We start from the raw sequence: 16,571 nt of genomic DNA on the forward strand, positions 1-16,571 counted from the left end.
GGTATCATTTTTAGATAAGCTGCACATGAGCTGTCTTACTACAGAGAAATATTAAGACCAGCAGGCTTTATAGGTGAATGATATGGTTTAGCCTTGAACTGGGTAAGGTCCAGATGGCCACTGACCCTGTCAGCTAATTAGTGTCAGTTAGAATGACAACTCATCAACATTCTTCAACTTTAAATTGGGTGTAAGTATAAATTCCAGTTTGGTGTTTTGGTCACTTTGATGTACATTTCACATGAAGTTTATTACAGACACTATATCAAGAAGTATATTAATATTCTGTGAGTGCCTTAATAAGATTTTAGTGTGGCTGAGGTAGAGATCTGGTTATATTTGCCCTAAATTTGTTTCAGGCTAGAATTAATTCAGTTGCAAGGAACAGAACTTTAGGAAATCAACTACTCATTTCTTTATGTCCTAGAGTGGATTAAAAAGGATTTTCTGAGGAAGATTCTAGGCCTGCCTTTAGGAACTTCCACTGCCTGCCTCAGGACAAGGGGAAACATGGGCTTATATTTAGGTATTAGGTTCCTTCATTCTGATAAAAATACGAATGCACCATGAGTGCTGTTAAGACAACTAGGTCTGTATTTAGCTGGCAACATAATACATTTTTGGGCTGCTGCTTTTATATATGTATGTATGTATGTATGTGTGTATATATATACATATATATGTATATATATACACATATATGTGTGTGTGTGTGTGTGTATATATATATATATATTTTTTTTTTTTTTCCTTTTTGAGATGGAGTCTCAGTTTGTGGCCCAGGCTGGAGTGCAGTGGCGCAATCTCGGCTCACTGCAACCTCTGCCTCCCAGTTCAAGCGATTCTCCTGCCTCAGCCTCCTGAGTAGCTGGGATTACAGGCATGCATCAACACGCCTGGCTAATTTTTGTATTTTGAGTAGAGATGGAGTTTCACCATGTTGGCCAGGCTGGTCTTGGAACTCCTGACCTCACGTGATCCTCCCACCTTGGCCTCTGAACATGCTGGGATTACAAGCGTGAGCCACCGTGCCTGGTCTGCTACCAATATTTATTAACAGATCAACATTCAAGAATAACCAGTTTAAGAATTAACAGCCCATTCATTCTCCAGATATTCCAAAATATAACCTTAGACCACACTTAGCAGTAAGATGGTTATCTAAACAACAACATCCTGTTGCCCACTGTGCACCTTCAATTTTGGCAAAACTGCTTTTGCTGAAATACATTTTCATGCAATGCCACCAACTTATATTGAAGGTACTACAATTCATTCAACAAACACTTATTTGAATGCCTACTGTGAGATGAATGAACTTAACATTATATCCTCTTTATGAAGGTCGTTAGGATAAAAGTCTGTCTGATCTTAAGGCCAAGAACAGTTGCGATTCACCTGAACAACTGAGTTCTTTTGATGGAAGGAAGCTGAGTTTTACATTCTTTCTTTTTAAATCTGGCTGCTACAAAGCTTATGGTGGTCCTTGTGAAACACTAGTAACAGGAGTGCTGGCATTATGGTATGCATTTTTACATTTCTTTTTTGGCTCTATTTTGTCTCCACTCATACTTTTAGTTTTCTTTGGCCCCATTTTATTTTTCCTTGAAGTAACTTGCAAAAGTTAGTACATGCTCTGAAATCGGGCAGTGAAGAGCACAAATAAACAATTGTAGGAAGCAAAATGGAGGGGAGAGCAGATCAGTTTATTGAAAGTTATACTCGTTCATCCATTTGCATTCTGATACCTGAGGACACTGTGAATTACTGGAGGAGAAAAGCAAATTGGAATTTTTAACCTTAACATTATTTTTTTCTCAGCTCCAGAAAGGAGTGAAAAAATGAAAAAATAATAAAATTTTAATTTATAAAAAATTTTAAAAAGAAAGTTTTTTGATAATTCTACTATTGAAAGTGAGTACAATGAAGCGGGGACTCACTGGTTCAAGGTAAACATTACATGGTTAAAGTTAGGTTAAGTTAAATATGTGTTCCTAGAAAACTTACAGTGGTTTTATAAATTGAACATTTAATAGTGAATTGATGAAATTCTTAAATATATAAAAAAACTTGTCTACACACGCTGCAATGGACAAAATCATTCCCTACGTCATCTAACAAGTTCAGGCTTCTGTGTATGATGTTTTCTTCAAGTAGGACGAGTTATGGAATGACAAAAAGGGTAGCTCAAAAGTTAATCAACATATTACACACAATTAGAACATCATGACAATTGTGAACCATAGTGACACTTGTTCTGGTGAACCATGGTCTAACTACAATTATATGCACTTAGAATGAAGGGCATCACAATCATATCAAGTATAGTTCTTATTAAAGAACTCAGCATCTCTGCAGGCTTACTAACCTGATGTTGTCTTCCTAGAGTAGGTTTGGGTATACGTAAATGAACTGCCCTCATTACCTAAGAAAGCATTGGTAGGTGCTTGCCTTTACAAAAAAGGAACTAGTTACTCTTGAGTTATAATACAAATGACCAAAAACTAACTCAAGAAAATCTAAATAGCCTTTTTTGGACAATGTTAAGACAGAAACTGTTACTAGAGATAAAGAGGAACATTTTATAAAAGTCAAGAAATAGATAACAATTATAAGCATACAGAAAGTGAAAAGACAAACCCAGAGGCACTTATAACAAAAACCCATTTTCACAATAAAGAAAGAACACTCAAAATTCAACAAGAAAAAGAAAACCCAATTTAAAAATGGACAGAAGAGTTGAAAAGACACCAAAGAAGAGACATAGATGGCAAATGGGCACATGAAAAGATGCTCAACATCAGTAGGCATTAAGAAAATGCAAACCAAAATTATAATGAGATACCACTTCATACCCACCAGAACAGTAGAATAGCTATAATCATAAAGATAGATAATAACAAGTGTTGGTGAAGAAGTGGAGAAATTGGAAACCTCATACATTGCTAGTGGGAATGTACAATAGCATAGCTGCCTTGGAAAACAGAAGCATTTCTTAAAATGTTAAGACTAAGAGTTACCATTAGACCCAGCAATTCTGCTACTAGGTATCTGCTTGAGGGCAATAAATATGTTATGTCTGCACAGAAACTTGTACACAAATGTTCACAGTAACATTATTCATAAAAGCCAAAAAAGGGAAACAACCCAAACGTCTATCAGCCAATGAATGGAAAAACAAAAAGTATTATTCAGTAATAAAAAGGAATGAAATACTGATAACATGCTACAACACAGATAAACTTCAAAAACATGCTAAGTGAAAGAAGCCAGTAACAAAAGGTCACATACTGTATGACACCACTTATACGAGAGGTCCAGAATAGGCAAATCTATAGAGATAAAAGGTAGATTCATGGTTGCCTAGGGCTGGCGGGCAGGGAAAGAGGAATGGGAATGACTGCTAACTGGTACAAATTTTCTTTTGGGATGATAATGTGCTAAAATTGGATTACAGTGACGGCTGAACAATTTTGTAAATAAACTAAAACCCACTGAATTGTATACTTTAAGTGACCAAACTTTATGGTATTTATCTCTCAATAAAGCTGTTAAAATATACTATATAAATTAAATGGACAAAAACCACAGGATCAACTCAATAGAAGCATAAGAACACATGATAAAATCCAATACCCATTCATGATAAAACTCTCCACAAACTAGAAATAAGAGAAATTTCTTCAACCTGATAAAGGGCATTTATGAAAAATGTACAACTAACTACATACTTAATGGGAAATGCTTTCCCTGAAGGATTAGGAACAGGGCAAGGATGGATGTGTGCCTTTGGCACTTCTATTCGACACTGTACAATAAGGGAGAAAAAGGGAAAAAGACAAAGTCTTTCAGAATTGAAAGCAGCAGCAAAACTGCCTTTATTTGCAGACCACATCATCCTATGTGCAGAAAATTCTAAGGAATCATAGACAAAAAACTACCAGCACTAATAAATGAGTTCAGCAAAGCTACAGTATTTGAGGTCAATACACAAAAATTAATTGTAGTTCTATATACTTAGCAATGAACAATCCAAAATGAAGAAAAAAATTCATCAAAAATAACATCAAAAAGTAAAAAAATACTTAGGAATAAATTTAACAAAATAGTGCAAGCCTTGCACACTGAAAATTACAAAACACTATTAATAGAAATTAAAGAATATCTAAAACATCTAAATTAAAGAATATCTAAATAAACGGAGACACATTCCACATCCATGGATTGGAAGTGAACATCATTAAGATAGCAATTTTCCTCAAACTGATCTATAGATTCACAATGCCTATCGAAATCCCTGCAGGCTTTTTTTTTTTTTTTTGGTAGAAACTGACCAGCTGAACCTAAAATTTATATGGAAATGCAAAGGATCCAGAGTAGCCAGAAAAATTTGTAAAAGAACAACACTTACTTTAAACGCGACAACAATCAAAACATTGGCACTGGCATAAGAAGAGACATACAGACCAGACCTAATAACTATCTTTACTTTTATGGTCGATTTTTTTTTTTTTTTTAAGAGACAGGGTCTTGCTATGTCACCCTGGCTTGAGTGCAGTGGCGCGATCATAGTTCACCATAACCCCAAACACCTGGGGCTCAGGTGATCCTCCCACCTTAGCTCGCGAGTCGCTGGGATTACAGGTACATGCCACCATGTCAGCAATGCATTTTTGACAACGGTGCCAAGGTAATTCAACTGGTAAGTATAGTCTTTTCATCAAATGGTACTGGGACAAGTGGATAACCACATTTATAAAGATGAAATTAAATTTGTACCTCATGCCATACATAAAAATTAACTCAAAATGAATCATAATTTTAAATGTAAGAAGCAAAACTATAAAACTTCTTAAAGAAAACGTAGGAGAGCCAGGCGCGGTGGCTCACGCCTGTAATCCCAGTATTTTGGGAGGCTGAGGTGGGTGGATCACGAGGTCAGGAGATCGAGACCATCTTGGCAAACACTGTGAAACCACGTCTCTACTAAAAAATACAAAAAATTAGCTGGGCATGGTGACGGGTGCCTAGTTCCAGCTACTCGGGAGGCTGAGGCAGGAGAATGGCGTGAAGCCGGGAGGCAGAGCTTGCAGCGAGCTGAGATCACACCACTGCACTCCAGCCTGGGCGACAGAGCGAGACTCCATTAAAAAAAAAAAAGAAAGAAAGAAAGAAAACATAGGAGAAAATCCTTGTACCCATGTACCAATTTACCAGTTTCACATTTTATGGATCATGCTTTTGGCACATCATCAAAAGCATGATCCATAAAACGTGAAATTGGTAAAGTGGCTTTAACAAAATTAAAATGTTTATATTCCAAGGGACACTATTAAGAAAATGAGAAGGCAAGCCAGAGACTGGGAAAAATTTATAGTTGCAAATCATATGACTGAGAGAGAATTTTTGACTAGACATTTCACCAAAGAAGATAAACGGATGGTTAATAAGCACAGGAAAAGATGCTCATCAACTTTCCAACATCCCAATATCAGGGAAATACAACCCAAACCACTATGAGATACCACTTCACACCTTACTACTAGAATGGCTATAATAAAAAGACAATGCGTTTCAGAAAGCCCTTACCTGTCACCGAAGGGTACACTAAAAAATGGTTTAAATGGTACATTTTATGTTATATATATTTTACCACAATAAAAAAAATAGCCCCTAACAATTACAAAGAAAACGGGAGGCTGGGCTCGGTGGCTCATGCCTGTAATCCCAGCACTTTGGGAGGCCGAGGCGGGCAGATCACGAGGTCAGGAGTTCGAGACCAGCCTGACCAACATGCAGAAACACCATCTCTACTAAAAATACAAAAATCAGCCGGGCATGGTGGCATATGCCTGTAATCCCAACTACTCGGGAGGCTGAGGCAGGAGAATCGCTTGAGCCTGGGAGGCGGAGGTTGTGGTGAGCAGAGATTGCGCCACTGCACTCCAGCCTGGGCAACAAGAGCGAAACTCCGACTCAAAAAAAAAAAAAGAAAAAAAGAGAAAGAAAAAGAACAAGGGAAAGGTGGTAAACTCAGCAGGAAAAAAACAAAAACCAAAAATATCTTCCCACAAAGAGAAGCCCAACTGTAGGTGGCTTCACTGGTGAATCCTATCAAACATTTAAAGACAAAATTACATAAATCTCTTCCATAAAACAGAAGAGGAAAAAACACCAACTTATTCAGTGAGTTCAATTTAAATGTATAATTAAAGGCATCATGATTTACTTTTTGCAGAAATGCCTTATTAAATTATAAAAGATAAAAGGTTCTGAGCTGGAGGTCCTGAAAACTGTTTCAATCCAGACTTTGTTACCAAGTGGTTGCATAATCTTTGTCAAGTTACATCAACATTTTCATTTTGGGCTTCAGTTTCTTAGTTTCTTTTCTTTTTTTTTTTTTTTTGTTTTTTGTTTTCTTGAACCAGGGTCTCACTCTGATACCCAGGCTGGAGTGCAATGGTATGATCACTGCTCACTGCAACCTCCGCCTCCTGGGCTCAAACATTCCTCCCAGCCTCCCAGGTAGCGCCGCCATGCCCAGCTAATTTTTGCATATTTGGTAGATGGGGTTTCACCATGTTGTCCAGCCTGGTCTTGAACTCCTGGGCTCAGGGCATCTGCCTGCTTCAGCCTCCCAAAGTGCTGGGATTACAGGTGAGAGGGACCATGCCTGGCCAGTTTCCTCATTTGTAAACAGGGAGGTTCACCAGAGAAATCCTTTCCATCTATATAATTCTATGATACACTTATTACATAAAATTTGGTTTAAAACTTGCTCAATCCTAAAATGATATAGCCCTTCAGAAAAACAATACAGTAATATGTAGTAAGAGCCATTTCATACTCTCTGTCGAAGTATTTCCACTTCTGGATATTTATCTTGGTGATATAATTCAATAAAAGCAAATACTCCATAAAGCTATCATCACTGTAACAGTCCACTTGTCCAACAAGAGTGGAATAAGATGAGTAACACAACGAAATGTCAAATTACTAAAATGATATGAAGATAATTTGTAGAAAGTATTTGTCTGGTGCAAAGAATCAGAATATAAATGATTTCAACTATGAAAATGTATACAGTATACAAACATATGCCAAATGGAAGGTAGTCTGCACTACTGAAAGTAGTATTAGGGTTGAGTCTAAAGATGGCTTCTTCTGTGTTTAATTGCAAAGTCCTTTGAAATATTAATGCATTATATACTCAAAGGGAAAAAAATAAAATACTTGTCCACAGGGTAGAGATGCAAAATATCAAGATTACACTGATAAGGTTCTAAGTTCCTCTGGTTTGATTAATGCTTCTGAGAGTGGTTATGAATCTGGAGTTCTCAGTAGACATCTCAGTGATTAACACTTTTGGCTGGGCGCAGTGGCTCACGCCTGTAATCCCAGCACTTTGGCAGGCCAAGGCCGGTGGATCACAAGGTCAGGAGATAGAGACCATCCTGGCTAACACGGTGAAACCCCATCTCTACTAAAAATACAAAAAATTAGCCAGGCGTGGTGGCGGGCGCCTGTAGTCCCAGCTATTCAGGAGGCCGAGACAGAAGAATGGCGTGGACCCAGGAGGTGGAGCTTGCAGTGAGCTGACATCATGCTACTGCACTCCAGCCTGGGCAACAGAGTGAGACTCCGTCTCAAAAAAAAAAACACCAAAAAAAACCTTTTATCGGTGTATACTGAAATTACCCGTAATATTTTACTTGTTCTACTCAGTATTGAGGTAAAGACTGCAAGTCTGTGATTTTACAAAGTAGCCATTAAAATTCAGATATAACACTGCATAGTTAAAAATCTTTACGCCTGGGTATTTCACTTATCCCTATTACTTCCTTTCAAGTTCTCAACTTATAATTCCTTGAGCAGCATTTTCTGGTAGGTTCATCAGCCACTAAACTATTTGAGTTATACAACCATTAAAGTTCCTCTCGACTGAGGATAGTGGAAAAAGGGAGTGTGTCTCTAGTGTCTATATTTTCCCTCCTATTCCTATGGCTGCCTGCTGAGATGAGAACCTCAGCAGGATCTAGTCTCAGCATCTCCAAGGTTATCAGAGAGAATACCTGGTAATGCTACAAGGCACAACCCTATTAATAGTAAGATGAACCATATGAAATTGTTTCTGTGGGCCAAAATATTAATAGTCAACCATCAGCAATTTTGTATGGCTCAACCTTGGATGTCAAGCCTTTGGATTAAGAAAAATATGATGTAAATTTCCATAAGGACATAATCTACTTACTTACAAGCATTTTAGGACAACATAAAAAAATTTTTTTTTTTTTGAGACATAGTCTGGCTCTGTTGCCCAAGCTGGAGTGCAGCAGTGTGATCATAGCTTATTGTATCCTCAATCTCCTGGGCTTAAGTGATCCTTCTTCTGCCTCAGTCTCCTGAGTAGCTGGGACCATAGGCACTACCACCATGCCTGGCTAACTTCTTTAAAAAATATTTTTTGTAGAGACGGGGTCTTGCTATGTTGCCCAGGCTAGTCTTGAACTCCTGGGCTCAAGCAATCCTCCTGTCTCAGCCTCCCAAAGTGCTGGGATTATAGGCATATGGCACTGTGCCCGGCCAAAGATTAAGAACTTTATTAGCATCCTGGGTACAGTTTTACTTTGGTTTCCCTGGTCTTCGTAAGCCTACTAAAGTTTTGTGACTACACTTTCATTTTTGGTTAGAAAAAAAAAATGAAATGTTCTCTTTGTCATTTTATTACATGGATATTTAGTAGTTTTTTTTTCATATTTCAAATTGTCCTTCCATTTAAACTCTTTGTTCCCTTTGAGACTCTAGAATCATTGTCAAAGACTCTCTCCTTAACCTTCTTAATAAAGAGTGCATTAGGTGATTAATTTCAGAACCAGCATTTTAAGCAATTAGTTTTTACATGTAAGCATTAACATGCTAAACTCATAAGCACAATGAAGAAGTGTTTAACAGCAGCCAATTAAAGAACAAATAGCAGAACTCTCTATTCTGAGTCAAATCCTGCCGAAGTCCTGTTTTTCTTCACAGAGTAAGTTTTGGTACCAGCACTTTCAGAGCAATGCTTCCTTCTTCCACCTCCAACTTGTATCAACCCCATTTGAGAATATCTTACCTGAAACTACCATAGACTATAAGAAGAATGGAAATCAGAAATGTAGACACTTGACTGGAATCCACCAGGGAATAGGCCCTAGAGAAATAAGAGGAAAAAAATTTAAATCACATGCAGTGAGTCCTAATGGAGCTTACAGTCTAATGGAGTTCTATAAACCCCACTGAGCTTTGTTTTTATCTTTAAGAAGGAAAAAAGGTATAAATTAGCATTAACAAAATAACACAATTAAAATGAGATTTGCTAGTTTAACATGAAGAATAAATTGGTAGGTTTACAGCTATTATTAGTAAATATTTACGGCATGTAAAATGACATCAATGTAAAAATCCCATCTCTGTATATGTTTACAACATCCACCCCCAATTTAAAAAGTATCAAAATATCTACCAGATCTGTGCCAATGGCAAAAGTCTCAATAATCAGACTTTTATCCAGTTACATTTCAATCTCTAATAGTATTTTACTGGTTTTGCTCGGTGATGAGGTAAAGCCTGCATCTCCTGAATTCCCCGTTTCCATTTTTCTAACTGCCTATTGATTTTCTCCATCTAGATGGCCTACAGGAGGTTCTTCAAAGTCAACAAGTCCACCACAAATACTCTCTCCATCTTAGCTGATCCTCTCAAGGAATGGTGTCACCATCCCCTCAGCTGCCAAAGCTAAAAATCTGCTGCATTCTTGACAGCCCTTTCTTTCTCTTACTTCCACATCCCGAACTACCCTATTTCTCCTAATCCCACTGCCAATTTGTTAGCTCCCTTCTATGGCTCGGCTATTGGAAATATTGTTTTAAAGGCTGTCTCCATGAGTTCACCCTCCACATTGCCCATTCTTATTTGTCAGGGATTTTCCTAAAACAAATCTTAGCAGGCTTTTTGTTGTTGTTGTTGTTTAATTTCCATTCAGCAAAGTATTTAATACTGCTTACATGCCAGGCACTCTGCTAGCCACTGGGATATACAGTAATAAATAAGAGTGCCTTGGTCTCTGCCTAAATGTCTTTTCTAAAGAAATGAACAATTTCACCCTAAAGAAATAAAAAAATGAACATAACTGAATGAATATAATCATGAAGAATGTTACAAAAGAGAGAAAGAGAAGTATAGGGTACTATGATAATGTATATTAGGTAGATGCAGTCTAAGAACAGGGGAGCTTTCCTTAGGGAGGAAGATGATTTAGAGAGACACAGGACACAATAAACAGGACCTGGTGATTGTTTATGGGAACCAGCAGAGGGAAGAATTGCAGTGATCCCTAGGTTTCTGCTTAGCTGGCTTTGTACCATTTAGTGGAAAAAAAAAAAAAAGTAACATAGGAGGAACAGATTTTTTTTTTTTTGAGACAGAGTCTTGCTCTGTTACCCAGTCTGGAGTGCAGTGGCATGATCTTGTTTCACTGCAACCTCCGCCTCCTGGGTTCAAGCGATTCTCTTGCCTCAGTCTCTCGAGTAGCTGGGATTACAGGCATGCACCACACCTGGCTAATTTTTGTATTTTTAGTAGAGATGGGGTTTTACCATGTTGGTCAGGCTGGTCTCCAACTCCTGACCTCAAGCAATCCACCCACCTTGGCCTCCCAAAGTGTTGGGATTACAGGCGTGAGCCACTGCGCCTGGCCAGAGGAACAGATTTTAAGCTAAGGTTTGAATGTACTGAGGAGACAAGTGGATATTGAAACCGTTCTGAGCTGAAGATGTATATATACTGAGAGCTCATCACCTTCCACATGGTAACTGAAGTCATAGGTGTGTGTGAATGCCTCACAGCAGTGAAAAGAGGACCTAGGATCAAGGCCTGGGAAATCTCCAAATTGAAAGATCAGGTAGAAGAAGGAACTGCAAAGAAAACCAAGATGAAAGAGAGACAGAGAAGGAAAACCCAGAATAGTAGGTTATTTCAGAAAGGCAGCAGAATTAAATGTGGCCTGAATTTAATCCCTTGCTCTACCACTTACTAGTAGCTAAGCCAGTTACTTAGCCTCTCTAAGCTTCAGCTTTTCATCTGTAAAATGGGGAATGACAACCTCAAACAGTTGTTAAAGGATTAAATGAGGAATTCATATAAAGAACATAACACATTAAATACTCAATTCACACTCACTGCATTAGGAGGGAGACGTTGCCAACCATGAATGCTGCTGAGAGGTCAAGAAAGACAACTGGAGTGACCACTGGGTAAAGTGGTGAGGATGGAGTCAGATTGAAATTGGGTGAGAAGTTAAAGCTAAGGAAATGAAGACAGTATTTTGAAAAGTGCAGGGAAAAGAACGGCAGCTGGAGGGTAAATATAAGGATAAGGGAGGTCTTAAAAGATTATCTTTTTTTTTTAAGGTGAGAGATGCTCAACCTTTTCTGATGCTGACTGGAAATTAACCTCGTGAGGAAAGACTGATGCATACAGAGGAGGACATTACATTTCCTTTAATCGTTGTAAAAAATAAGACATATAATAAACTTTCATGAGACACTGCTGTGGTCTATAATGGCAGGCTTTTGGATCCTCAGCTTTTTTTTTTTTTTTTGAGACGGAGTTTCACTCTTGTTGCCCAGGCTGGAGTGCAATGGCACGATCTCGGCTCACTGCAACCTCCACCTCCTAGGTTCAAGCAATTTTCCTGCTTCAGCCTCCTGAGAAGCTGGGGTTACAGGCGCCCCCCCACCACGCCCAGCTAATTTTTTGTATTTTTAGTAAGAGACGGGGTTTCATCATGTTGGCCAGGCTGGTCTCAAACTCGTGACCTCAAGTGATCCACCCGCCTCGGCCTCTCAAAGTGCTGGGATTACAGGCTAAGGATCCACTGCACCCGGCGTGATCCTTAATTATTACAGATACAACCTGAAGTATTTATGGGTATGTTAAAAAAAAAATGAACTGGGGAGTCCATTAGGCTGAGATGGTTCCAGTGTCTTGGGTTCCTAAGGAAGCCAACTGAAATCCAACTCAGAGTAACTCAACCCATCAGAAACTGCCAATCAAACCTAACCAGGGGCTTTACCAATCAGAAACTGCCAACTAATCTCTACTAGAGACTTTCTACTTTAACCAATCAAGTATTTTCTTTCTTTTGCTTCTGCAAAAGCTTTATAAAAGTTTTGCCCTCAGGCCCCCTCCAAGGAGCTGTGATCCACTTGTGATCTGGTGCTGCCTGATTCATGAGACACTGCTCAAAAAAACTCTCCAAAAGTTAAACATAAGTTTATCTTTTAACAGGTGAAATAATATGATTTAAGATTTACTTTAAAATACTCTAAGAAAATAAAACATGGGAGGGATACACCAAAAAAAAGGTAGACTTTTTAAAATTATGAAGCTGGAATGATAGGTATATTGTATCCTTCTCTCTTCCCCCCACACCAGGCTTTGAGATGGTAAGACAATTTGAATACAATTAAAACTACTAGAGGCAGATGAATACAAGAATATATGTTTTGGATCATGAATTCTGTTTCACAGCACCTCACAGGGGTGCTACCTTTTCCTAAATTTCAGTCAGCCGGGGAGTGGAGAAAGGGAAGGTAGGAGACATGAAGGCCACTCGAGCCTCTCTCTTGGGTCCCATCCAGCAATGATGCAGCTGTGGCTGTCCAGGGTCCTCTTTTGAACAACCAGATTATGTAGACAAGGCTCACATACCAAGAGATATCTGAGCTATCATGTATCATGTATTAGGAAAATGAACTTCATCAGTTTCTCTTTATTCTAAAATTATGTTTCTTGCTGTGTGACATAATCTTTGCACACATCTTCCAAAATTCTGAAAACAAGAAGGAACATTTTCTTAAAATTAAAAAAAATTATGACTAGGTTATATATTCATACAAAAATCAAAAGTATATTAAAAAGTACATACACAGAGGTCTTACTCCCATCTAGTCATCACCCAACCCCCACCCTCTCAGTCATTTTTAGATAACAACTTTTAAATAACCACATTTTTTAGTTTCTTATCTAGCCTTTTGGAGTAAACATACAATATAAGAACATTATTTCTCACCACTTCTTATGAAATAGGTAGAATATTAAATATACTGCTCAGTATCTCCCTCTACCCCCCTTTTACAATATAGCCTAGAAATCTTTCTGTATCAGGATGTGGAGAACTTCCTTTTTAAAATTTTCTTTTAAACATCAGCATGATAGTCCATTGTGTAGATGCCCCACAGTTTTTGTTTTGTTTTGTTTTGTTTTTTAAGAACAAGTTCCTTACAGGTGGACACTGGGGTTGTTTCCAAAAACTCTGCTGTTAACAAGTAATTCTGTAATAATGGGCCTTGTAAATTATACCTGCATTGCACACACATGAAATGACCTGTTTGTATAACATTCCTCAAAGTCAGATTGCTGGCTCAAAGGGGAAATGCACTTGCAATTTGATAGATGTTGCCAAAGTGCCCTACAGAGAGGTTATACCATTTCACACTCTCATCCGTAATGAACTCAATGCTCCTACTTTCCAAAGTGAGTATTGTCTAACTTTTGAATTTTTACCCATCTGAGAGATGAAAACTGGTATCTCAGTATGGTTTTTATTTGCATTAAAATTGTAATTAAAATTTAAAAATTAAAGTGAGATTGAGCAGCTTTTCTTTTTTATGATTAAAGGTCAGCAGGTATTTTTAAAAGGCAATTTAAAGTTTTCTCCAGACTCCAGAGCTATAAAAAAACAAGAGCGGCTTTCTTCTGAGGAACTTTTCTTCTGATGGTGTCTTACTTGGATGACTTTGTTTTTGTATCCTTTGTATTTTGAAGCATATTGTCACTACCCTCAAGGCAGATTAAATATCTACACTTCCCAAATTCACTGCCTTAAAGTCTGATACTATTGTTTAATTATTTTGCTACATCTCTCAAATCAATGGAGACTCTCTAGAAACTCTTAACCTCAGACTTCTGGAAGTCTGGAATTTTTATTTTATTTTATTTTATTTTTTGAGACAGAGTCTCGCTCTGTCGCCCAGTCTGGAGTGCAACGGTGCGATCTCGGCTCACTGCAACCTCCGCCTCCTGGGTTCAAGCAAAATTCTCCTGCCTCAGCCTCCCAAGTAGCTGGAATCACAGGAGTCCGCCACCATGCCCAGCTAATTTTTGGTATTTTTATTAGAGACAGGGTTTTGTCACGTTGCCCAGGCTGGTCTCAAACTCCTGACCTCAGGTGATCCACCCACCTCAGCCTCCCAAAATGCCAGGATTACATGCGTAAGCCACCACACCTGGCCTGGATTAAATTTTCAAAAACCAGCTCCTCCCTGACAGATCTTCTGTGCTGTGCTCCAGCCTCTGAGGAGCTGTAGCTACTGACTTTCTTCATAGTCTGTTTTTCTAGATGAAGGTTTGACCATGTGCAAAATATAAGAGTGTGACTAAGGTTGCCAGATCTCACCTCCATATCCTGGCAGTGAGCATGTCCCCCACTGCAGAACTAAATGCCTGATTTCAAAAAAACTGTTCAGATGTTTAATGGTTTCTTCTAACTTAAGTTTTGTTTTAGCTTTCAAATAAACCTATACAAGAAAATCTGATTAAAGTTCACCCCTAATATTGTACATGGTATTTTATAATTTATACTAAGATCTTAAAAAGTTCTAACAATTTGGCAAACTTTACCAAATATCACATAACTAGAAGTTATAGATTATTTTACGATGTTATTTGAAATTTCATATACTATTTTCAATTCAAACTATCATTATAAAAGTTTTTGTTGTTGTTTCTTTTTGGAGACAGGGTTTCACCTGTTGCTTAAGCTGGAGTGCAGTGGCACGGTCTTGGCTCAGTGAAACCTCCAACTCCTGGACTCAAGCAATCCTCCCACCTCAGCCTCCCAAGCAGCCAGGACTGCAGGTGTGAGCCACCACAGCCTGCTAATTTTTGTATTTTTTGTAGAGACAGGGTTTCACAATGTTGCCCAGGGCTGGAGAACTGTGAATCTCTGTGATTATTAGTGTTTTTTAAGATCAAGAGCCAGATGCACTTCTGATCTTAGGAGGCCTAATTCCAGAGTCTCTCAAATTGACTTCAATATCTGCCCAAAACTGGATGACAAACTGAAGTTTCTATCTGTAATTATACAGTAATTAGCTATGTAATCCTCCCTGGGCAATCCTTTATATCTTTCTATTACCTATAAAATCCTCTTTGGGCCCAGATAAACTTGAAGGCCAAATTAATTTTTATTTTTCAAGGGTCTAGGTTTTGGCTGGGTGTGGTGGCTCATGCCTGTAATTTTGACACTCTAGGAGTCCGAGGTGGGAGGATTACTTGAGCCCAGGAGTTCAAGACCAGCCTGGGCAACAAATGAGATGTGACTCTATGAAAAATTAAAAAAAAAAAAATCAGCCAGGCACGGTGGGGCGCGCCTGTAGTTCCAGCTACTTGGGAGGCTGAGGTAGGAGGATCCTTTGAGCCCACAAGTTTCAGGTTGCAATGAGCCATGATCGTGCCACTGCACTTCAGCCTGGGTGACAGAGCGAGACCCTGTCTCAAAAAAGTTTAAAAAGTCTGTATTTTTATATTGTTTTGCTTTCAAAAACAGAAATATTACCAGAAATACTCTTTCCATCTTTCATGTTGCCCATCATTGACATAGCCAAAGAGGCACTGCCACAGATGACCCTGTTTCCAGGTGACTAAAATTGGTATTTTCCTCTTTTAATCACCCAATATTTACAGATTTAAAAATGGCTTAATATAAAATCTTACATTATACCAGTAGACATATATGAAGGTAAGCCATCATCTTACCCTGGGTAGCAACTCTGGTTCGTTTATTCAACCCATGGGAAATTCTTCCCTAGGGTCTTTTTAAAAAATGTGGCCAGCCTTAAGGCTAATTTACAAACTCTTCATTTTCCCTCTGCTAGACTGCTTTATCCCATATTTGTTTATGCCCTTGGTCTCCTGAAGTAGGCTCACTTTTCACCTACTCTACAAGCTCATAAAAATGAGCACAGAGCGGTTTCAAAAATGTCTAAAGGTTTTCACTGCTGGTAACGACAGGGAGGAAAAGGGCCCCTCCTGTATCATCCTCTATTCTGTTCTTTGCCCACACAAAGAAAGCAAGCGTTCATCAGCATTTCAGAAATAGACACAGATTTTACTACAGGAGCTGGGGTTTGGGGATCTGGGGTAAGACTACGATCAATGGAGCAGACAGGGAAGAAAAGGTATTCCAAGGAAAAAGGGTGGGTAAGTCTGGCCAATAATAGGAAATCAAAGCCCAGCAATCTTATTTCACAGTCTCTCCCTATCCTACATTTCAGACTCTACCAAAGCATCAACAGAAATGTGTCATTCTTCAGGCCCTCCTACTGAGGTGTCTGTTCCCAGAGGCTCTGGGCGGACATGAAAGACAGGAACTACTCTATTCTGAGATAAAGGAATTCTTACTGAAACACAGAAAGAAACTAAATACATGCATTTGAGACACACCAAAATCAGGTTAGCCAAATGTATTG

At 38.5% G+C, this 16,571-nt stretch overlaps 1 protein-coding gene across 2 annotated transcripts in view; it reads right to left on the reverse strand.

Annotated features, from left to right (window-relative positions):
* Nucleotides 1–16,571, reverse strand: part of SPPL3 (signal peptide peptidase like 3) — a 141,849-nt gene that overhangs the window by 39,187 nt on the left and 86,091 nt on the right. For both annotated transcript variants that reach the window (NM_139015.5, XM_011537925.3), the window contains exon 2: nt 9,113–9,190. In NM_139015.5, coding sequence (NP_620584.2) covers nt 9,113–9,190 — 78 coding nt within the window. The remainder of the gene's footprint in view (nt 1–9,112; nt 9,191–16,571) is intronic.

Source organism: Homo sapiens, chromosome 12, assembly GCF_000001405.40.
Source record: "Homo sapiens chromosome 12, GRCh38.p14 Primary Assembly".
NCBI classification, from domain to species: domain Eukaryota; kingdom Metazoa; phylum Chordata; class Mammalia; order Primates; family Hominidae; genus Homo; species Homo sapiens.